Here is a 24438-nt window from a genome sequence, read left to right as displayed (position 1 = left end):
GCTTGTAAGCATGGCTTTTTGAATTGGATAGATTTAATTTAAATCAGGGGTGTCCCATCTTTTGGCTTCCCTGGGCCATATTGGAAGAAGAATTGTCTTGGGCCACACATAAAATACACTAACAATAGCTGATGAGCTAAAAAGAGAAATCACAAAAAAAAAAAATCTCATAATGCTCTAATAAAGTTTACAAATTTGTGTTGGGCCACATTCAAAGCCATCCTGGGCCACATGCAGCTCATAGGCCATGGGTTTGACAAGCTTGATTTAAGCAGAAGTGGAATAACATGGGGAACTCTCTTGATGTCAGGGGTAAGAGCTACAATTTTATCTGTTTGGACCCATTAGAATTTCCAGCAGGATTTAGGCATAAAAGCTGCAACTAAAACAAAACAAAAAAAATGCTGTAGAGACAGGGTCTTGCTATGTTGCCCAGACTTGCCTTGAACTCCTGGCCTTAAACAGTCCTCCTACCTTGGCTTCCCAGATTGTTGGGATTACAAGCGTGAGCCACTGTGCCTGGCCAGGGGTCTTATTTTTTACTCCGGAAAAAAAACGTTCCCTCCCCCTTCCCCTTCCCTTTCTTGACAGAGTCTTGCTCTGTCACCCAGGCTGGAGTACAGCGGCATGATCTCGGCTCACTGTAACCTCCACCTCCCACCTCAGCCTCCCGAGTAGCTGGCATTACAGGCACGCACCACCACGCCCGGCTAATTTTTGTATTTTTAGTAGAGACGGGGTTTCTCCATGTTGGTCAGGCTGGTCACAAACTTCTGACTTCAAGTGATCCACCCACTTTGGCCTCCCAAAGTGCTGGGATTACACACGTGAGCCACCGTGCCTGGTGATGTTTTTCTTTAATAGCAAAATATGTCAGGAAAAACTTGGAAAATGCAGAATACAAAATACAAAAAATGCAACTGAGAACTTTTATGAGAATTTCAATATCAAACAGTGAATCTCAGTTGCCCTATCTCTCTGCGTCTCTTGCGTGCGTGTAGATAGATAAATGGTGTCTAGGCTTGTGGGTGGGCATGCATAGACGGTCCTTCTGGGGTACTCTTAAGGGGATTCGGCCCCTCAGGTGCTCCTAGTTCCTAACCTCACCCTTCTGCATGTGTCCTGTTTCTGAGGATGGCCCTGAAGATGAGGGAGTCTTATTTTTGAATGAGCAGCAGTTTCAGGGCCACAGAAACCAGGACTCCCTACAATGAAGAAGGGAGCTTTGTTTTTTCCAAGGCTAGAGCATTGTGGAGGTGATTTTTCAAGTCTTAACACCATGCTATTATGACATCATTGGAACTGAGACGGGGTGAAGACATTTAAATGGAAATATTTATTTTCTTAAAAGTATAGCTTAATTTTCCCTCTCCAAGTTTGAGAAGGAATATTGGGAGGAAACGGGACAAGATGACACAGGCATTTGGACATTCACTGCAAATCCTAGGGCGTTGCTGCAAAGCATCCTGGGTCCAGTTCCAGTTTAGGAAACCTCACAGCCTTTTTTCCACTCGGACAGGTCTCTGCCCTCACAATGTTTCTTCCAGCCTTGCCTGAGGATGAGAGGGAAGCAGGAGCAGCAGAAAGAAGCGTGACAATCCAAACCGTCTTAGTTTCAAAGCCTACAGAAATTAACCAAAATCGCCAGCGGAACCCTGGGTTGGGTTTCATTTGCTTCTGAGCTTCAAGGATGCTGTCCTTTTGCCTAGTTCAGACTTTTGTCTCCTGGTTTTCTCCTAGCCATTGTTAGCTTCAGCAACAAGCAATCAACTTTTGTAAGGATGGGTCATTCCATGTCACACCCACATCTGTGAAAATTCGGGTTCTCTGAGTGGGGCCGGCTGGCAACGTTCACCAGAACACAGCAGCAGCGAATGCAAGGCCCCAGGCTCAATGCTGGGGACGCTTTCTGCTGAGTCGCCATGACACAGACCTGCTCACTTTCCTCTTGCTGCTGCTCATTCTCTTTCCCTGCAAAATGTTGCTGTAACCTTCAAAATCTTATCCAAATCTAGAACAAACTCAAGCTTTTTTTTTTTTTCCTCTCTCGAATTGATTCAGTTGACCCTTTCCAAGTCACTTTAGAAAATACCTTTCTCCATTGTTTGGAATACGTTCATATGAAAAGCAATTGCAAATTATCTTAACCCAATCCCAAGTCTCCTCTCCCTTTCTATGTACTACTATGTTCACTGCACACCCACACACTGATGGAGGAGAATATAGACAAGGTCTCCTTCCATTGGTTGGACCACTCTGCGGAGGTGAGTTTGTCAATTCCACCATAACTGTGATAAATACACACACTAGGTTTTGCCCATGACAGCACAAGTCTCCCAAGAAAACACTCTTACCAATAGTTCATTCCTTGTGTCTCTTTAACAATTTTCCTGGCACAGATAATTGCATCTGTGAGGTCATCAGTGATCAAGGCTGTAAAAGAGAGAAGACATCAGGGTTAGGCGAGACTTTGTTGTTGGAGAGGGACCTCAACTCAACTTTACTTCACTTTTCTCAGTCTTTTTGGATCAAGAGGGTTGGAAGAACTATGATTTTGCCTGCAAAGCCACAATCTTATTTTCATTAAGCTTCTTCAAAAAGAACTTTTTGTTGTTGTTTTAAGACCGTTTTCATCTTGCACTACCTGATGTTTCAGAGGAAGAGCCCAATCCTGAAGGGTTTTTGGAAATGTGTTTAGAGAAAATGCCATGCAAGAATGTTTTTTATGTCTTAAAGAAATAGGCGCAGGCCAGGCATGGTGGCTCAGACCTGTAATACCAGCAGTTTGGGAGGCTGAGGTGGGAGCATCCCTTGAGGCCAGGAGTTTGAGTCCAGCCTGGGCAACGTAGCAAGATCCCATCTCTACAAAAAGTAAAAAATTAGCCAGGTGGGATGGTGTACACCTCTAGTCCCAACTACTCAGGAGCCTGAAGTGCGAGGATCACTTGAGCCCAGGAGGTTGAAGCTGCAGTGAGCTGTGTTCACACCACTGCACTCCAGCCTGGGCAACAGAGTGAGACCCTGTCTTAAGAAAAAAAAATGGCACATAAGACAGGATAGCACAATGTTTTCTCTATGTGGGTTAGTTTGACATATAAGTTCTCTTTGGAGGTAAATATTAAACCTTTGTCTATTGTCATTTCATATTGTGCCTTAAAAAATTTTTATCCAGGGTTTTGTTTTGTTTTGTTTTTGTTTTTGTTTTTGTTTTTGTGAGACAGAATCTCATTCTGTCACCCAGGCTGGAGTGCAGTGGCATAGTCTCGGCTCACTGCAGCCTCTGCCTCCTGGCTTCAAGCAATTCTCCTGCCGCAGCCTCCCCAGTAGCTGGAATTACAGGTGTGTGCCACCATGCTGGGCTAATTTTTGTATTTTTACTAGAGATGGGGTTTCACCATGTTGGCCAGGCTGGTCTCAAACTCCTGACATCAAGTGATCCACCCACCTCGGCCTCCCAAAGTGCTGGGATTACAGGTGTGAGCCATCGCACCCAGTCTAGGGTGTTTTTCATATGCAAAAAGTTTTAAGTTTTAAGTCAAATACGTCTATCTCTATCTTTATTACTTTTCCTTTTTTCTGAAACAGGATCTCACTCTGTCACCCAGGCTGGAATGCAGTGGCATGATTATAGCTCACTGCAGTCTCAACCTCCTGGGCTTAAGTGATCCTCCCACCTGAGCCTCTCAAGTAGCTGGGACTACAGGCATGGGCCACCATGCCCGGCCATTTTTATTATCTGTATTTTTTGCAGAGAGAAGGTTTCACCATGTTGGCCAGGCTGGTCTTGAACTCTGGGGATCAAGTGATCCTCCTGCCTTGGCTCCCAAAGTGCTGATACTACAGCCAGCACTGTGCCTGGCCACTTATTACATTTTCTATTGCTTCAGACATAACAAATCTTTTGATTGAAATGTATTGTTTGATATCCGCATTCTTTCCTGCTTGCCTGAAAAGTAGCCTCAGAATCCTTCTCAACACAAACATGACAGAAAACGGCAAATAAAATGTAAAAGTCCAATATCACTTCTGTTGCAATTTGGGTCTCCAGGAACAGACGCTGCGATGGGTTTGAGGTGCTAGATATTCCTCAGGGATCCACACCTATGAAAGGAATGGGGTGGAGGAAGCAGGATGGGCAGACGGAGATGTCCATTTGTGACGCAGACCCAGCAATTCATTGGGCAGCCCAGCCATGAGCTCCCGAGTGAGCACCGCCCATCAGAGTGGCCCAAGTCGGGCCCACATGCCAGGTCCGCATGCCTCTGCCTCACATGTCACTGGGTGTGGGTCACCCCGGAAGGGAACAACCTGCACCTGAAGCCAATCCTGAAGCAGGTGGCAGGTACTGTCTGCTCATCACACAACTGCAGCGGGGGCAGCACGTCTTTCCTTAGCAGGGGATCTGGGAGGCCCATCTCCATGACCACCACAACCACCAATCAAGGACAAAAATACTCAAACCACTTGATCTCATTTCTGCTTGTCAATTACTCAAAGGTTTTGTTTTGTTTTGTTTTGTTTTTGTTTTTGATTTTTAGAGAATTGGGTAATGCTTGACGTTGACAAGGGCACAGAGAGGCAGGTTCTCTGGATACTTGCTCGTGGGCGTATAATGGATTCAACGTCTTAGGAAACCAACATAGCAGCATGTGTTTAGAGCCTTAAAGAGGTGTTTATCCTTTCACCTAATAATTTATCTCTCCAGATCTATCCTAAGGAAACAGTCATGATGCTAGACAAATATTTCTTTACAAAGTGGTTTACTCTAGTTTTATTTACAAGAGTTAAAATGAAAAAAATCCAATTGCCTCATAATCAGTGATGTTCAAATTAATCATAATACCTTCATTTAATAAAATAAACAGCCATTTAAATTATGTTTTCCCAGGATGTTTTATAACATGGGGGAAATGCTCCCAATGCAATGTTAAGTTCCCAATATCATAAAAATATCCATTGAGAGCTGTATTGGCTAATGCCAATATGGCAGGCATTAGCAACATGTGACAATTTACATTTAAATTATATTTGTTGACCGATGAATGGATAAAAATATGTTTATATAGAGAGTGGAATATTATTCAGTCATGGAAAAGAAGGAAATGCTGACATTGGCAGCAGCATGAATGAACTGAAGGAGATCGTGCTAAGTGAAGGAAGGAAGACCCAGAAAGACAAATACCACATGATCTCACTCATATGCAAAATCTATCAAAGTTGAACTCATAAAAGCAGAAAGTAGAGCAGTAGCTGGTGAGGAAAATGGGGAGACGCTGATGGAAGGGTCTAAACTTTCAGTTATAAGGTGAGGAAGGACTGGGGATCTAATGTACAATATGGTGACCATAGTTAATTATACTGTACTGTTCACTTGAAATTTGCTGAGAGTAGCCGGGCACAGTAGCTCATGTCTGTAATCCCAGCACTTTGGGAGGCCGAGGCAGGTGGATCACTTGAGGTCAGGAGTTTGAGACCAACCTGGCCAGCATGGTGAAGCCCATCTCTTCTAAAAATACAAAAATTAGCCAGGCGTGGTGGCATGCACCTGTAGTCTCAGCTACTCAGAAGACAGAGGCAGGAGAATTACTTGAATCTGGCAGGCAGAAGTTGCAGTAAGCTGAGATTGCACCACCGCACTTCAGGCTGGGTGACAGAGCCAGAATCTTAAGTGTTCTTCTCTCTCTCTCTCTCTCTCTCTCTCTCAATCTCTTTCACACACACACACACACACACACACACACACACATACATAAGCGGTAACTATGTGAGGTGATGGATTTGTTAAACTTGATTGTAATAATCATTTCACAATGTATACAAAAATAAAATTATCATGTTATTTACTTTAAATATATATTATTTTGATTTGTCAATTATACCTCACTAAAGCTGGGAAAAATTCAAAAAACTATGAATTTTAATTAATCAACATTAAACATAATTAAAACTTTAGTTCCTTATTTTTTCTTTTTTTTTTTTTTTTTTTTTTTTTTGAGACGGAGTCTCGCTCTGTCGCCCAGGCTGGAGTGCAGTGGCGGGATCTCGGCTCACTGCAAGCTCCGCCTCCCGGGTTCACGCCATTCTCCTGCCTCAGCCTCCCGAGTAGCTGGGACTACAGGCGCCCGCCACTACGCCCGGCTAATTTTTTGTATTTTTAGTAGAGGCGGGGTTTCACCGTTTTAGCCGGGATGGTCTCGATCTCCTGACCTCGTGATCCGCCCGCCTCGGCCTCCCAAAGTGCTGGGATTACAGGCGTGAGCCACCGCGCCCGGCCAAGTTCCTTATTTTTTCTAGCTACATTTCAGATACTTTATAGCCACTCATGGCTAGTGGTTCTCATGTTTGACAGCACAGATGGAAGACATTTTCATCATCACGGAAACTTCTATTAGACAGCACTGGTTTAGAAAAAAAAGACAGTCATTAATTCACTAATACTTTAAGAAGGATTGGCTCTTAACTGTGGGATCACCAATGCTCTTAAGTCTTTGCTGCGTATTTTCTAAAATTTGTTTACAGTAGAAATGCACTATTTTTGATACCAGAAAAAAATAATTGTAAAAAATGCTAGCATAAAATGTTGCATTTCAGTAGAACATTGTAATACCAGATTATTTTGTTAACTCTGTTGGAAGTGGAATTTTCCCTCGAGCATGCTATTTCCCTGAGTTGCTAATTTTGTGGCTTTCTCAGTTCAGCTTCACTAGAAGATAAAGGTAGTGACAGATTTCTTTTAAGCAAATTTATTCTGAATGTGACTTAATTTTTATTTAAAACAAAATTCTATTAACCAGGAGAAAAACTGACAAAATATATCATCAGTAAGAGATAGCAATTGAAACAACATATGCAAATTCGCTGGCATTTGGTTTACAATTCTACAGTGAAAACTAAAGCTATATCAGCTTATAAAATCTCCTGCCTATCTTCTTGACATATAAATATTTCAGATAATAATAGCTATTACTACTAGCTTATGTTTTATAGAAATCTTACTCTATGTCAGGCACATGTTAAATCTCTTCACGCAAAATCTCCATCAGTTCTCTGAACAACCATTTCTGTGGGTACCATTTTATCCCCATAAACCAAGGTCACACACCCAGTTAATGAGCCTGTATTCTGATAGGGGGCTTAAATTCTGTTTTCCTCTGATCTCTTCTTCCAACAGAAGTCACTTAAGCAAAGATTCCTGCTCATAAAACACTATATGTTAATAAAGTTAATAATTAAAATATACTTTATTAATTTTTCAAGTAATTATCTATGAGGTTATCCAAATTTAAGCATTTGGTACCTGATACATGTTCAAGTTACTTAGAGACACTTTATTTCGGGTGCTTGATAAATGCTGAGACACTGTGGTTTGTGTTTGGAAGTAGTCTAGCATATTTTCTGGGAGATGTGGGTTTGGGGCGGTCTCTAGAGGTTGGAGGGACACAGATTATATAATACATAGTGAGGAGGAAGCAGATCACATTCTATTATTCTGGGATTGGAGGTCATCCCAGGCATGTACAGAAAGAGCACATTTTGTACTAGGGGCAGGGCAGTTTGATTGTGGATGCCCTGTAAGGATTTCTGGGACGGTGGGGCCATATTGGACCAGGAAGTGGACACCGAGTACAGTTGTTTGTCTCCTCCTACTTTGTTATAGCATTTAGTTGCGCAGTTGGGATGTTTTGAAAGTTGGACTTGACTGAATTTGCTTGGGAAAATATGTTAGGGAAAGTAGGGGCTGGGAAATCAAGAGCTCCCTCCTGCCTCCCAGCCCTGAGCACTGAGGTGTTGTTACAAGAAATAGCCACAGAAGGGCAGCAGAGGGGCAGAAATGAGTTCAGATGGCACTTTTTAAATGAGGACTCTTGCCAGTAATTGTTTCTGCTCAATTTACTTTAAATAGACAGTCTGTCCTGTCAAACATGAATAAAGAAAGGGTTATGTTGAACAGCAAAGAATCGTTTATTCTTCCACATCCAACAGAAAACAGCAACAATTTACACAAAAAGAGCTTCAGTCCTATTTTCAGTTATGTTAGTTCTACTTCAAAGTATCTGTGTCTCTCCTCGGCATCCTCCTGCCTCCCAAGTGAAATCTAGCAGCCACACACCCTCGATGTTCATCTCTTTCCCCTGTGAGATGACAAAGGCCAATTCAGATACCAGGGTGATGAAAAATAAAATTAATATAAGTGCACTAGACTACACTAGATAGAGAGTCAATAATCATTTTTTCCTCAAATGCTCTTATTTTAATGAAATCTGTGCTGTTGGGGGTAAATACTGTCATCACATCAGGCATTTTGTACACTGTGTGTATGTATATGTGTAGGTATATGAACGTGTGTGCTTATGTATGCTTTGTATATATGAATATAGCATCAATTTTCTGTCCAAATAGTTTAGGGAAAGTAGGAAGGCATTTTAGGAATACAATTTGGAATGAGAGTGAGGAGACTGTCCAGCTTCAGAAAATGGTCACGGGCTAGGTGCAGTGGCTCACGCCTGTAATCCCAGCACTTTGGGAGGTCAAGATGGGAGGATCGCTTGAGCCCAGGAGTTTGAGACTAGCTTGGGCAACATGGCGAGACCCCCTTCTCTACCAAAAACAAAAAGAAGAAAAAGATCATGAAGTGTATCCATGCTGTACATGCATATAACGTCACGTACCTTGTAAACACACCCTAATGCTAACTTTTTTTCAGTTTCCCATGACAAATGTCCCTACTTCTGTAATATGTGGGACAGAATGACATTGTTCTAATAAAAAACTCTCTGGCCTGAGGCTAAGGGAGGCCTTTCATGGAGGGTGGTTAGTTATAAAACCAACATCTTGTTTTCTATTTTAAGGCTATCCCCCAAAATCCCATGCTCTTCACGATAAGAAAACAGATATGAGTGTCCTTTTACCTCTGACCATGAACCGTCCAACACTTTAATTTCTTAGAATCTAAGATTGTCTTGCAGATAGACCTTTGCCCCAGGCTTCCTTAACTGGAATGAAACTGAACAATGTTAAATTAGTAATCTGCATTTAAAGTCCAACATGACCACGATGGAGTCACAGATTTCTCTTCCCACTGTAAACAACCAGAAGACTAGACAAAATAGATGAAAAATTGTTTTCGGATATGGACAACTGGCAATGCAGGATCATGATCTTTGAGAGAGAGAAAAACACAGTGAACCCTGTGACTGCCATGACTTTCTGCCCAGAGGAGCTCTGCAGACCAGGAAGGTAGAACCAGGCAGGGGATGGCCATCTAAGAGGAGGAGACAGACATCAGACGCCAAGGCAGCTCAGATTTTGTGGAGAATACCTGGGAGGCAGGAGCTACCCAGAAGAAGAGCAGCAGAAATCTGCAAAGGGATTCCACCCAGTCTTTGACTGAAGGCTAAACTGGGTATGCACAGGTAAATTTCCACAGGGCTAGGCAGAGAACTACCCCAGGGAACAGGGCAATTACAGACCTCGCGGGGCTGGAAGACATTTGATTTCTGACTAGCCCAAGGGAATAGACCTTGCTGAATCCTCAGCACATTCAAAAGAGACACTGGATGCTTAGTTATGCCTTGGTAGTGGGACTAAACTAGCCCTACCCTAAAAACTACTCCAGAACTTCACTAACAAAGTTTAAGAGTTACGCTGATCAGAATAAACTTAGCTGGTTGGAAAAGAAATTCAACACTCTTTAAAGGAAGACACATAGTCTAGACACTCAACAATGTTGCATATGAGGCAGGATAGGTAGGCAAGGAAGCAACTGTGTCCGCGGGGTACGGCAACTATGGTGACTGGCCAGTCAACACGATGAGCCTCAGCATTCACACTGAAGGCCAGCTCATTCAAACAAAGCTGTCTCCAGAAGGGAATTTCCCCTGTAGGGAACATGCGCATTTTGACTTTACCTGTCCTCAAACTCACGCTTTGCTCATTATAATAATAAAAAACACACACCTGGGTGGAGATTTAAGATGCTAATGAGACATGCGACATATGAACATCCATGTACAGCTACTGCGCAAATGCACGAAGAGGACCGCCCAGAACATGCTTACTAGCAACACCTCTTCCCACCCGTTTATGAATAATCATGGAAGACTCCATTAAAGGGAGCATCCCTCGTGCCGGCCTTTGATGTCTCATCCTTACGAGCAGCCTGCCCTGAAGTTTCTCTCAGGGTGTACTGTCCATTCTGCACCTAACTTACAAAATATTCTTTTTCTTTTTCAATAAATTAGTCTATGCTACATCTCCTTTGCTGTGTATCTCTTGTTGAAATTCTTTTAAACTAAGAAGACAAGACTCGAGGACTTACAACAGCCATCAACACACACACTATGTATGTATTCAATAAAAAATGATTCCTTGTGCAGAGGCAGGGAAATGTGGCACATACCAGGAGAAAGATCAGTCAAGGGCAAGACCCAGAAATGACAGTTGATTCTACAGCAGATAAGAAATTTAAATCACTTCTTATAAACATGCTTACTTATGTCAAGGACTTCAAGAAAAACATGAATAAAATGAAATGAGAGATACGAAAGTTTGCCTAACACCAAATAAAAAATACGGTATCTGAAAAGAAACATCCAATCAATAAGCTTAATAGATTAGCATTAAAAAAAAAAGTAACAGTGGACTTGAAGACATAACAATGGAAACTACTGAAAATAAAACACAGGGAGGGAAAAAGGCTAAAAACATGAAGAGCCATGGTGATAAATGTGACAGCAGCAGCAATCTAACATATGTGCCATTAGAATCCTTGAAGGAGAAAAGAAGAGTATTAGAAGAAAGAATGACTGAAATGTTTTCAAATTTAATGAAAATTATAAACTCAGGGGTACAAAATGTTAATGAATGCCAAGTAAGATAAACACAAATATCACACATAATCAAATTGCTGAAAATGAGTAATAGAGAGAAAATCTTAAAAATGACTAGATAAAAAAGACATATTACATACAGGGGACAAAGATAAGAAAATCATTGGTTTCCCATCATACACAAGGCAAGACAGAAGGCAATGGAATATCTTTAACAATTTGAAGCTGAGCATGATTACTCACAGCTGTAACCCCAGCACTTTGGGAGGCTGAGGATCACTTGAGCCCAGGAGTCTGAGATCAGCCTGGGCAACATGGCGAGACCCCATATATTAGTCCATTTTCATTCTGCTGATAAAGACATACCTGAGACTGGCCAATTTACAAAAGAAAGAGGCTTAATGGACTTATAGTTCCACATGGCTGGGGAGGCCTCACAATCATGGCAGTAGGCAAGGAGGAGCAAGTCATGTCTTAGATGGATGGCAGCAGGCAAAAAGAGAGCTTGTGCAGGGAAACACCTGTTTTTAAAACCATCAGATCTTGTGAGACTCATTCACTATCAAGAGAACAGTGCCGGAAAGAACTGCCCCCATAATTCAATCACCTCCCACCGAGTTCCTCCTACAACACATGGGAATTATGGGAGTTACAATTCAAGATGAGATTTCGGTGGGGACACAGCAAAACCATATCACCCATCCCTACAAAAAATAAAATAAAAACCAGCCAGGCATTGTGGCATGTGCCTGTGGTCCCAGCTACTCGGGAGGCTAAGGTGGGAGGATTACTTGAGCCCAGGAAGTTGAGGCTGCAGTGAACTGTGATCATGCCACTGCACTCCAGCCTGGGTGACAGAGCAAGACCCTGTCTCAAAACAGCAACAACTTGAGAGGAGAACAACTGTCATCCCAGAATTTTATATGTAAAGAAAATATTCCTCAAAATCAAAATAAAATAGAGATATTTTCAGACAAACAAAAGCAGAGAAAATGCTTGCCAGTAGACCTCTAGTCTAAAAAAACCGAAACCAAAACCAAAAAGAAGGTAAAGAAAGTTCTTTCAGCTGAAGGAAAGTGATATCGATTGACTACTTCCCCAAATAAATCCACCAAAGGAATGAAGAGTATTGGAAATAGTAAATACATAATAAATATTATAGAACTTTTTTCTCATTTAAAAATTTATTTAAAAGACAATTGTTTAAAGCAAAGATAATAAAAATGGATTGTGAGGTATATAAATATAAAAGAAAAATGCGTGACAACATGGCACAAAGGATGAAATGGGAGAAATTAAAGAATACTGTTAAGAAACTCATATGTTATATATGAAGTGGTGTGTTATTTGAGGGTAGAATGTAATACGATAATGATGCCTATTGGAAACCCTAGAGTAACTACTAAAAACAAAATAGAGATATAGCTAACAAACCAATGGAGGAAATGAAAGAGAATAATAATTTTTTTTTTAATTCCAAAGAAAGCAGAAAAAATGGAACCAAGAATAGATGGCATAAACAGAAAACAGAATAGCAAGATGGGATTTAAAACTAACCATATCAATAATCACATTAAATGTAAATGATCTAATCAAGGTTCCACGATGTATGTCCCACAGGAAAACCTCCTGTTTCTGTAAATAAAGCCTTATTGGAACACAGCCAGTCCCATTCATTTACATACTTTCTATGGCTGCGTTCACACTCTGTCGTGGTTGAGTAGTTGCAATCAAAACCATATGACCTGAAAAGCCTAAAATATTTACCATTTGGCCTTTTAGGCAAACATTTGCTGACCTATGGTTTAATCACTCCTACTGAAAAGCAGTAATTACCAGAATGGATATAAAAGCAACACATAACTATATGCTATCTATAAGAAATTCACTTTAAATATAAAGACCCAGATGGGTTAAAAGTAAAAGGATGGAAAGAAACATATTATGCAAAGACTTCCCCAAAGAAAGTGAGAGTGGGCTGTATTGCTATCAGATAAGGTAGATTTCTGGATGAGAAATAGTACCAGAGTTAAGGAGAAACACGGACTCCAGTGACAAAAGGGTCAATTCACCACAAAGACATAACAGTCCTCGATGAATATGTGCCTAATAACAAAGCTTCAAAAATGGACAAGACTGAAAGGAGAAATAGACAAAACTAAAATGATAGTTGCAAATTTCAATATCTATCTCTCACTATATGATAGTTCTAGTAAGATCTGTCTAATAAGTTCTCAGTAAGAAAATCAGAAAGGAAATAACAGTCACTTATAGAACATCTACCCACCAAATATAAAATACACATTTTTTTTTTCAAATGCATATTCATCATAAGACACATTTGCTGTGCTGTAAAACAAGATTAAAGACATATTAGAGGTCTGAAACCATATAGACCAGGGATCCCCAACCCCCTAACCACAGACGGATACCAGTCCATTGTCTGTTAGGAACCAAGTCACACAGCAGGAGGTGAGCGGCAGGCAAGTGAGCTAAGCTTCATCTGTATTTACAGCCACAAGCTTGCCATTGGTTGCATTACCACCTGAGCTTCACCTCCTGTTGGATCAGTGGCAGCATTAGATTCTCATAGGAGTGCGAACCCTATTGTGAACTGAGCATGCAAGGGATCTAGGTTGCACGGTCCTTATGAGAACCTAATGCCTGATGATCTACCGCTGTCTTCCATCATCCCCAGATGGGACTGTCCAGTTGCAGGAAAATCAGCTCAGGGCTCCCACTGATTCTACATTATGGTGAGTTGTATAATTATTTCTTATATATTACAATGTAATGATAATAGAAATAAAGTGGACAATAAGTGTAATGCGCTTGAATCATCCTGAAACCATCCTCCTCCCTCTGGTTCATGGAAAATTGGTCTTCTGCAAACTGGTCCCTGGTGCCAAAAAGGTTGGGGACGGCTGATATAGACCATATTCTCTGACCATAATGAGGTGTAACTAGAAATCTATAATAAAAGCTCATCCTGGGATCATCCTTCACAATCAGGCTGGGCATTCCTCTTGCCTTTCTCCCTCATCGAGTCCCTTGTTTCCTGAACCATGTCTTCCTCTTTATTGTTTTAGTTTATCCTTTTTGTGAAGCATGTTTTCCTACGGTTTTGTGAGAGAGGGTGCATGGGAGGTGAGCTGAATATGTCATCTTTGCCCTGACGGATCCACTCTCTACCCTTCTCCACCATGCTCTGTGCACTCAGAGGCCAACGCACACAGTTGCCGTCAATGGTCTCCCATGTCCTCTGACTTCTGAAGGGGTTTAAATAAGAGTAGGCATCAGCAGGGAAGGGACAGAGGAGGGACACTGAGGTTGGCATATACATATAATATCTTCCAGCTTTATTTCTGTCAGGTCACTCAGCACAAGTCACATCCCTTGAAGGAAGGTCTCAGATCCTAGAAGGTTGTCCTCTCCCTGCAGACCCCTTGTACCTCGGTGCTGGTCATAGTTCTCTTTCCATTCCTCATTGGGCAAGGGGGTGGTAATTGCCTGTGATTCCTAATCCCTTACTTCACTATTGCCATGTTTTTTCTATGATTTGATCAGATTTTTGTAAGTAGAGTCTTTATTAATATTCTCCTCCAATTACCCAGTTTGTGTTTGTTCTGTCTTCCAGCCAGGATTCTTTATGATACAGGAGGTAAAGAATTTAACAACTTGGTTCTCAGAAAGTGTACTCATTCTATGCTCAAAATGTACTGATAATTTGGTAGCACAGAATTTTATAGTGGAAATGGTTTTCCCTAAGAATTTTGAAGACTTTTTCCATTTTCTTCTAGCTTCCAGTGTTGTGGTTGAGAAGTCTGATGTCACTCTGATGCTTGATTTTTTGTATGGAACTTTTATTTTCAAATGGAAGCCTGTTGTATATTCTGTTTTTCTATCATGTTCCGAAATTGTATGAGGATGTTCCTGAGTGTGAGTGTACAATAATCACTTTATCCAAGGGGGATACATTCCAAGACTCCCAGTAGATTTCTGAAATGATGAATAGTACCAAATTCTACATATACTATGTTTTTTAAGGCAGATAACTGAGACAGCTACCAAGTAACTAATGGGACCATAGTGTATACAATGTGGATATGCTGGACAAAGAAATAATTTATATCCAGTATGAGACAAAGCAGAATGGTGCAAGATTTCATCACACTACTCAGAATGGCATGCAATTTAAAAGTTATGAATTGTTTATTTCTGGAATTTTCTATTTAATACTTTTGAGTCACACAATGACCATGAGTAACTGAAACTATGGAAAGCAAAACCATAGACAAGGAGTGACTGCTGTACCGGTCATGTGATGAACCTTACAAATTGAAATCACATGCTCTTTAGTTCTGGAAATGTTTTTTAAAGGTTGTGTGCTATCTATTGTTTCTCTTCTCTCCTGCTAAAAAGTATTTTTATATCCATTTATTTTATCATTCTTATTTCTCCTATTTTTCACTCATCTCTTTTTTTCACTCTGCTTTTAGAGAGATTTCTTCAATGTTATCTTCTAACTACTTTACTGAGTTTTCCATTTCTGTATCATATTGTTAATTTCCAAAGGTTCTTTATTTGGTTATCTGAATGTTTCCTTTTTCTCTCTTTTTTTTTTTTTTTCAAAAAAAGCATCTTGCTTTGTTTCATCCAAGCATCCTCTCTTATCTATCTGAAGATATTAATGGTAGTTTTCTGAATTTGAAGTTTCATTTCCTTGCATAAACTCTGCTTTCAAAAAGTTTTATCTGTTTGGTTTTTGCTTCATTTTTTTTCATGTCACTGCTACTCCTCTGAAGTCTGGTGAGCCTTGGCTCTCTGCAACTATTTAAGAGAGGGGCACTAAAGGCTGGCAGAGCCCTGTGCTCAGAGGTAGGGATTTTCAACTGTGGATCTCACTGCAGGGAGGTTTGACCAGTCTTGTTCACTGGGGAGTCCCACTCAGAGTCATTAGTAATTTCCTTTCAATTTGGCCAGATCCCTAGAAGAAAATCTTCTCATCTGGAGAGTCTGGCCTGGCTGCCATCATTGTGGGGTCTGAGTGGAGATGGTGGTTGGAACTATAGAAACTATAACTTAATCTCCCATGTCTGTGGTCTGGAGCTCTCAACCTCAAAGATTGTTGAGGTCTCAGTTGAGAGGTTTTCTACTTTACTCGTCTAGAGGAAAAAGTCCCAGTATTCTGCCAGGGTGAGTGAGGGGCAGTCAGTAGGTGAATGCCTCAGGAAGGGACTGGATGTTCTAACTACTCCTTAAGTGAACTTTAAATGTGTCTTCCTGTTTGTAATCTGTCTTCATTCTAACTTCCAGAAGTAGCTAATGCTACTGATTTCAGAGCTTTTTGTTGTTGTTGTTGTTGTTGGTTCTGTGTTTGCTTCTCAGCTTTCTCTCTGCTGATTTAGGATTCAGATGTCTTTAATCACTAAGTTAGTCACCACTTGCCTCCTGCTTTCCAGCTTCTAAATGTTTTGGTATTGTTTCCTCTTCCATTTATCTTGTATATGTGGATTTATCTTTTTATCTTATTGATTCTCGAATCCCTTTGGTATTAATTTGGCAGGACACCAAGAGGGAGGAGAGGGGTATTGGGTTTCTATTGCTGCCCTACCAAATTACCACAAACATTGTGGCTTGAACACTGCAAAATTTCCTTACAGTTCCGATGGCTGGAAGAGTGCCAGGGGATTCACAGGGCTGAAGTCAAAGTGCTGACAGGTCTGTTTTCCTTTCTGGACACTCTGCAGGAAGATCCATTTCCTTGCTCACTTGAGTTTTGGCAGAGTTCAGTTCCTTGTGGGTGTTGGACTGAGATCCCTGTTGCTTGCAGGTTGTCACCTGAGGGCCATTCCCAGCTTCTAGGGACCACTCACACCCCTTGACTCATGGCCCCTTACTCCATCTTCACAGCCAGCAATGATGGGTGAAGTCCCTCTCACACTTTGAATCTCTCTTTCTTCTTCTATCATTGGAGCTCTCTCTGACCACAGCTGGGCAAGATTCTCTGCTTTTAAAGACTCATGAGATTAGACTGGTTCCACCCACATTGTCCCGGATAATCTCCCCTACCTGATCTCAGATCCTTCCTCACATCTGCAAAGTTCCTTTTGCCTTGTAAGGTAACAGAGTGAGAGATTTCAGAGATTAGAGAGTGGACATTTGGAAGCTGGGGACTCAGCCCACCATGGGAGGTAAATGCACACATTTAATCCTCATATTTAACTGAAAGACTCCATTGGTGAGCTCTTAGGGAATGCTAATAAGATTGACTGGGACAGAGAAGGGTTCAAAAGTCATGCCTATGGAAAGTGAATATACTGAATGTTTTAGCTCAGAAGATAAGAAACCAGAGATGAGAGGTACTTATAAATCATTTGCATACAGTTAATAAGTTTTTATGTGTAACATAAAGCAAACTTGTTTTGAATAAACCCAGAAGGAAAAACTAGGATTGATATAGAAGGTTAGAAGAAGACAGATTTTGGCCTAACAAAGGAATGTTCTAAATTAAGGGCTGACCAACAATCGGGAGATCTATCTCAGGAGGTAGTGATCATTCTTTATCAATGTTAGGGTAGGGACAATATACTAGGTAACTTAACATATTATTCAGTCATTCAAACATTCAAACCCATATACTGATTATCTTGTACAATAGTTCCCCCTTATCTGCAGTTTCATTTTCCAAGTTTTCATTTACACTCAGCAGTGGTTGGTTAGTTTTATCAATGTAACATATTTTGAGAGTCAGAGAGAAGGTGCTTACATATTTTTATTACAGTATATTGTTATAATTATCCCATTATTATTGATTGTTAACATCTTACTGTACCTAATTTATAACTTACACTTTGTCATTGGTATCTATGTACAGGAAAAATCATAGTATATACAGGGTTAGGTATTATCTGCAGTTTCAGGCATCAGCTGGGGGTCTTGGGATGTATCTCCCTTCAATAAGGAGAGGACTCCTGGATGTGGCAAAGAGAAGTTAAAACGGTTTATTTTCTGCTCTGAAAGAATTTGCAATAGAATATTTTATGACTCTCTGACTTCACTCTTGTTCCTCATTCTCTCCATTTATTCAATAAACATTTATTGAGCTCCTGCAATGGCCAGGCACCATTCTAGACATTGAGGATACATCAGTGAATGAAACAGAACTCTCTGCCCTCAAGGGACTTACACTCTAGAGGCAGCACAGAGAAAATGCCTTTGACTGAGCTCTGCCCTCTGCCTGTTCAGCATCTCTTGCATCAGTCTTCTCCATGTCACCAACCATGACCATCATTCAGTCTTTTTATGGCACTTAGCTCAATAACTGTGGTGACACTTAAATGGTCTCTGCTTTAATCTATCCCACACCCTGCTTGCAGATTGATCTTGCTGAAGCAATGCTTAATTAACTGACCTCTCTTGGTTTCCTCTTGCAGGCAGAAATCAGTGAAAGCCTCTTAGCCTGGGTTTTTCACACTCAGATGGTCGTTAGCCTCTCCACCTGCCTTCCCTGGGATTCTCTTCATGTCACTTTGTTACAGAAAAAACAAGCCTCTCCCTACTCTCTGTTCATGCTTCACACCTTCCCACAGGCACCTCTTTGCTTTTGCTCTTCCCCTGGCCTGGGATAACTTTTCTCTATCTCTACCCAAATCTTCCCTATCTTCTAAGTCTCGGGTCAAATATCACTGTGTTTACAGAATTTTCCATGATTTTCTTTTTTTCTTTCTTTTTTTTTTTGAGACAGAGTCTTTCTCTGTCACCCAGGCTGGAGTAGAATGGTGCAATCTCGGCTCACTGCAACCTCCACCTCCCGGGTTCAAGCAATTCTCCCGCTTCAGCCTCCCGAGTAGCTGGGATTACAGGCACCTACCACCGTGCCCAGCTAATTTTTGTATTATTTAGTAGAGATGGGGTTTCACCGTGTTGGTCAGGCTGGTCTTGAACTCCTGACCTCAGGTTATCTACCTGCCTCGGCCTCCCAAAGTGCTGGGATTACAGGCATGAGCCACTGTGCCTGGCTCCATGGTTTTCTTAATACTGTCACTTTCCTCTGAAGCCCATGGCACTCAGCGCACTCCTCCTTACATGATTTAACTTCATGTAAGCACATATTCTCTTTTCTTGTCATGTCACATGAAAGTTCGGTAAAGCAGAATTCATGCCTGATGTATTTTGTTATCCTCAATGCTGTGCTCATATGTATTTCTGGAATGACTAAAGTAGAAGACATGAAAGTAAATTCTAGCTTAATTTCTAATGTTTAAGACATGTGGCTAGCTAAATATACTGGCCCACACCAATAACTATAGCACTCTGAGAGGCCGAGGCAGGAGAATCTCCTTAGGCCAGGAGTTCAAGACCAGCCCAGGTGGGACCCCATAACGGGACTCCATAGCCAGACTCTGTCTCTACAAAAAAATTACAAAATAGCCGGGCGTGTGCCTATAGTTCTAGCTACCCAGAGGAGGGAGGATCACTTGGGGCCTGGAGGTCAAGACTGCAATGAGCTATGATCACATCACTGCATTCCAGCCTAGGCAACAGAGTGAGACCCTGTCTCAAAAAAAAAAAAAAAAGAAAAAAGAAAAGAAAAGAAAAAAAAAGAAAGAAAAGAAAAAGGGAAAAGAAAAGAAAGAAACCTAAAGTGTATTCATCTCATTCTGCACTAAGAAGTACAAACTGCATCCTCTGAGCGAATTGCTTATGGAAAGCAGCTGGCAGGCAGCTTCCTTTTTCTTACTGAAGACATCAAATATCTCTAACATGAAAGGGCAGTAGGGTTGTTTGTCCATCCACCTGCTTTAGTGGGGGCTTCATAAAACTGTCTACAAGGAATAAGTCATCTTTGGAGAAGTCAGCCACAGGATCCTGAGTGTCACCTTGGAAACTGTTGCATAATTTACCAATCTGGAACAGACCTATTTGCAAGCCTGAACTCCAAATTTTAGTTAAAGCAAGACATGGTTGGTGATCCCATTGTCGGCTTTCTCGCCTAGTCCTGAGGATGGCATCACTGGAAAGTCAGAGCCTCACCTGAGCAGGCGACATGGCAGTGGTTGTTCTCCTTCAGCTTTCCGCGTCTGCACCACGCGAAGCTGTTGATCTGGAAGATGCCATAGTCGATGCTGCCGTCATCCAGGACCGTCTGGGCTGTGGTGTTGTAGCCGCTCTCATAATATGCCATGCAGATCCCTGGAGGGGGGAAAGCCAGAAACGCCAGCAAAGGAAGTGCATCTTTTGCTCTAAGCTTGGTCTGAGGGCGAGTTTCCTTATCCTTGTTACCTGACTGCTTCCTCCCAATACACCTTGGGCAGGGCAGGGCGGGCATGCGCCCAGGGGGCACACGAGGGGCACATCGGGGGCTGGGATGGCACACCTGAAGCTGTACACCCAGTCAGGGGCTGAGCCTAATCTAGACCAACAGTCAGGTCCCCCCACTCCCCACAATGCCAGCAGAGGTGGCATTATTTTCCCCTTCCCTGGCTAGTGTCATAAGGACAGGACTCCAGGAATAAGGAAATGAGGGGCAGGGGAGGAAGGAGAGGAGACCCAGAGAGCCACAGTTAGGCTAGCAGCCACCCCTGAGTGCGGTGAGGGCAGAGCAGGGGTAGTTGGGAAGACACAGCAGGGAGTGTGGCCAGGACCTTCAACATCTCAGGGGAAAGGTCAAGGACAGAAGGAGAGCAGGAAAGAAAGAGTCTCACAGTTTCCAAGGCTGAAGCCCCAGTAATTGTCCAGGCCAGCCCTCGAGAATATTTTTGCCAGTTTGCAACGAGTGTAGATTTTGGACTCGGCGCCTGTGACCAGGCAGCCAATGAGGGTCAGAATGCCCGCAGCCTTCATCCTCAAAGCCTGCCGGAGACAGAACCTGCCAAAGAGCCGGAGAACAGGTCAGACGATCTTGGTTCAGGAACTTTGAAATCCAGCGGTGGTGACTGTGCACAGCCCTGCCTAGATGCTGCCTGTCACTTTGGTCATTCAGTGCCACCATCAGGGAAAACCGGCCACTCTACGGTCCAGGGAAGGAAGGCAACTGAAGGCTGTTTCCTTAATGCTTTTCCATACAGTAACTTTCAAGTCAATGCTGTGTTCTCAGGGTTAAGCAAGCAAAAAAATTAACCCTCCTTAATACACATCCAGGTGAAAACCACAGGGGGCATTTTTAGGATTTCTATTTTAATTCTATGAATGAAAAATAGAATACAGGGGTGAAACATTCCCTATACTGCTGACCCTTGAACAACATGGGTTTGAACTGCGTGGGTCCATTTATCCGTGAATTTTCTTCTGCCTCTGCCACCCCGAGACAGCAAGACCAACCCCTCCTCTTCCTCCTCCACCTCAGCCTGCTCAGTGTGAAGACAACCAGGATGAAGCCCTTTATGATGATCCACTTCCACTTAACAAATAGTAAATGTATCTTCTCTTCCTTATTCTTTTCTGAATAACATTTCATTTCTCTAGCTTACTTTATTGTAAGAATCCAGTACAGAAGACATAGAACATAAAAAATATGTGTTTATTGGCTATTTATGTTATCAGTAAGGCTTCCAGTCAGCAGTAGGCTATGGAGTCGTTAAGTTTCTGGGGAGTCAAAAGTTACATGCAGATTTTCAACTGAGCAGGCGTCGGTGCCCGTGACCCCTACATTTGTTCAAGGATCAACTGGATGTGTAGAAACAGACAGCCCATTTCAGCCACAGATGAAAGACACGTGGGCCTGTATGGAAAACTTTAAGGGTTATTGTTTGGGGGTTTATCGAAGAGTGAAGATTAAGCACCTACTCTTTCATTTTCTTTTCTTGATTCAGTTCCAAATGTGGGAGCTTTGCTTCCAAAGTATCAGTGCTTTTATTTATTTATTTATTTTTTGAGATGGAATCTCACTCTGTTGTCCAGGCTGGAGTGCAGTGGCGCCATCTGGGCTCACTCCAAACTCTGCCTCCCAGGTTCAAGCGATTCTCCTGCCTCAGCCTCCTGAGTAGCTGGGATTACAGGCGCCCACCACCACACCTGGCTAATTTTTGTGTTTCTAGTATAGATGAGGTTTCACACTGTTGGTCAGGCTCATTTCAAACTCCTGACCTTGTGATCTGCCCACCTCGGCCTCCCAAAGTGCTGGGATAACAGGTGTGAGCCACCATGCCCAGCCCAAAACATGAGTGTTTTATCTTAGATTGCAAATGCATTGCTTTGCTAAGCTTCACCACCAGTGCTCCGGGGGGCCTCCTAAAAGTCTGGCACCTGACTGGGGAGCAAGAGGGATGGAGGACAAAGCCTCATGAAAGGAGGAAAGCACCTGGGGGAGCAGAGGGGCAATAAAGAGACCCCTGCGGAATCATCTGAAATGGGAGTAGGATCAAGAGAGCTGTCTCCTGCTGCCTACTGATTTTCCACAATCTCTTCCCCTCTTGAAATAATGTCTTCCCCAAATACAACAGCCTTGCTGGGATGGGGTGAAGTGAAATTTCTGACAACTACTCGGGATCCTGAACTTGATGTTCTTACATATGTTCATCCCGTGTCATTTTCTGCACTTGCCTAGAAACTTCTCCAGTCATTAGTTTCTCTCCCTGGGGCTGGATTCCTGCATTGAAAGGCTAGGCCCAAAACAGGGATAAGTAGTCATCAGCAAGGCCACCGCACCAAGTAACAAGCAGGGCTTTAAGGTGACTAAGCAATAAGGTAAGGAACTGCATTGCATGAGGGGCATGTACATTACAAACGTGAATAGCAAGCGTGGGCAAACCAGGCCCGCTTTTGTATGTAAAGTTTTATTGAAACATAGCTACACCCATTTGGTAATATATCATTGGTGGCTGATTTCCAACTACAGTGGCAGAGTTCAGTAATTGTGTTTGAGGCCGTATAGACCACAAAGCCTAACATATTATTATCTGGCCCTTTTCAGAGAGAGCATGCCAGTCCGCTGTGTACAGCACTGTGTTAAGCTGTGAGGGACAGACAAACGAGGTTTAAGATGCAGAGCTAAGGCCAGGCATGGTGGGTGATACCTGTAATCCAAGCACTTTGGGAGGCTGAGGTGAGCAGATTGCTTGAAGCCAGGAGTTTGAGACTAGCCTGGGCAGCAAAGGTAGACCCTGCCTCTACAAAATATACAAAAATTAGCCAGGCATGGTGGTGTGTGCCTGTGGTCCCAGCTACTGGGGAGGCTGAGGTGGGAGGATCACTTGAGGCTGGGAGTTTGAGGCCATAGTGAGCCATGATTGTGACACTGCACTCCAGCCTGGGCAGCAGAGTGAGAGACCCTGTCTAAAAAAAAAAAAAAAAAAGAAAAGAAAAAAGAAAAAAAGATACAGAGCTTACAAATAGAGTTGGTTTCCATCCCCTGCCTTAGAATTTTACTGATCTCAAACAAGTCCAAAGAAAACCCGCAGCAATGATAACCCCAAGCATCATGTTCTACATCCTTCAAGAACCTGCCATTGCTGGTTCTCATAAGAGTAATTTAGGTCTTACTGAAAAGGCAGATTCCTGGTGCCTGCCCCAGAGGCTGACTTCTCAGTTGAGTCTGCGGAAGAAACACTGCTCCACTTAGTCGGTGACAGGCAGCTCAGGGGAGCGTCCTGCATCCCCTGAAGCCATGTCTGATTCTAACGAGGCGCGAGTAATCCTTTCCTAGCTCAAGAACATTTCTTTAGAGTGTTAGAGAAAGAAAAATTCTTAATCCTTTGTTTCTCACCACCTAGAGATGCTAGAATTCTACTTCTTGGCACTAAAAGCTGTATCATCCTGCATGCTTGTGTTCTGAGGCAGGTGATAACTGTCTTCTGGGGCTTAATACCTCTTGTTTTTTGTCTTTTCCCCTCAACAACCCTCCTCATTACACAACTTGGCCAGGGCCTCCTGTCCAAGTGAGAGCTCTTCTCTGAGGCGTCTGCAAACTTTATCACAAATTCCATTAATAAAGAAAGTTAAGCATGTATCCTCTTTAGATGTACATTGAGTTATAAATCATACTTCTGTACCTCAGTACTAATATGCTACATAAATTATCAACATACATAAAACTAAAATTTGAAAATTAATGACATAGAGGTGAAATTAACATTAAAAATTTATTAACAGCACATTTGCTATAGTCAAATTATTATTAATAAAATATTTTTGTAATAACATGATTTTATTATTTTTGAAAAATTTGGCTTAACACTTTGTGAATCAATAACTAAAGGGCTGTTTTCAAGGTCTATTTATTTCAATGTTCAGATTTAGTGACACATTTGAAATGAATTCTCATTAGAATATGTAGATCTAAGTAGAAGTTTATTGTTGGCTGCACCTAACTAATCGTTATATTTTCTTAAATTCCATCTGCCAATAATGCAAAGGTTTTGTTGAAATCTATTTTGAAGTTCATATAGTATTGCATTATACAGATACAACATAGCATACTTAGCCAATTTCATATTGATGCACACTTATTTTATTCTTCTATTGTAAACATATTACAACCAGTAATTTTGTACATATGTCATTTGTAACTTTACAAGAATATCTTGCTGGATCAAAGGGTATAATTTTGTAATTTTGCTAGATATTTGCCAAATTGCCTTTCACATGGGCTTGTATCAGGAAGATAGCA

General features: G+C 41.9%; 1 protein-coding gene across 4 annotated transcripts in view, besides 1 other annotated feature; it reads right to left on the bottom strand.

Moving 5' to 3' along the window:
• LYZL1 (lysozyme like 1) overlaps nt 1-23473 on the bottom strand; it is a 29259-nt gene extending 5786 nt beyond the window's left edge. For 2 of the 4 annotated variants that reach the window (XR_428650.2, XM_005252627.4), the window contains exons 1-4: nt 23313-23473; nt 20537-20700; nt 19866-20024; nt 2355-2433 (exon numbers count right to left, since the gene is read on the bottom strand). Coding sequence is in view for 3 of the 4 variants with exons in the window: in XM_005252627.4 (XP_005252684.1) it covers nt 2355-2433; nt 19866-20024; nt 20537-20700; nt 23313-23425 (515 nt within the window). In the remaining variant the exon portion in view is untranslated. Of the gene's footprint in view, nt 1-1310; nt 1554-2354; nt 2434-8037; nt 8133-8909; nt 9005-19865; nt 20025-20536; nt 20701-23312 lie in introns of those variants that run through there. The other 2 variants (NM_032517.6, XM_017016791.2) reach the window with 2 other exon arrangements.
• Nucleotides 9613-10149: an enhancer, noted in NCBI's record as "OCT4 hESC enhancer chr10:29591323-29591859 (GRCh37/hg19 assembly coordinates)". NCBI's record gives its function as "activates a minimal SCP1, AML or CMV promoter by ChIP-STARR-seq in naive H9 embryonic stem cells {active_cell/tissue: H9 hESC(naive)}" and the evidence as "EXISTENCE:reporter gene assay evidence [ECO:0000049][PMID:30033119]".
• Nucleotides 23474-24438: the final 965 nt, after the last annotated feature.

Source organism: Homo sapiens, chromosome 10, assembly GCF_000001405.40.
Source record: "Homo sapiens chromosome 10, GRCh38.p14 Primary Assembly".
In the NCBI taxonomy this organism is placed as follows: domain Eukaryota; kingdom Metazoa; phylum Chordata; class Mammalia; order Primates; family Hominidae; genus Homo; species Homo sapiens.
This window is presented reverse-complemented; position numbering and strand designations above follow the sequence as displayed.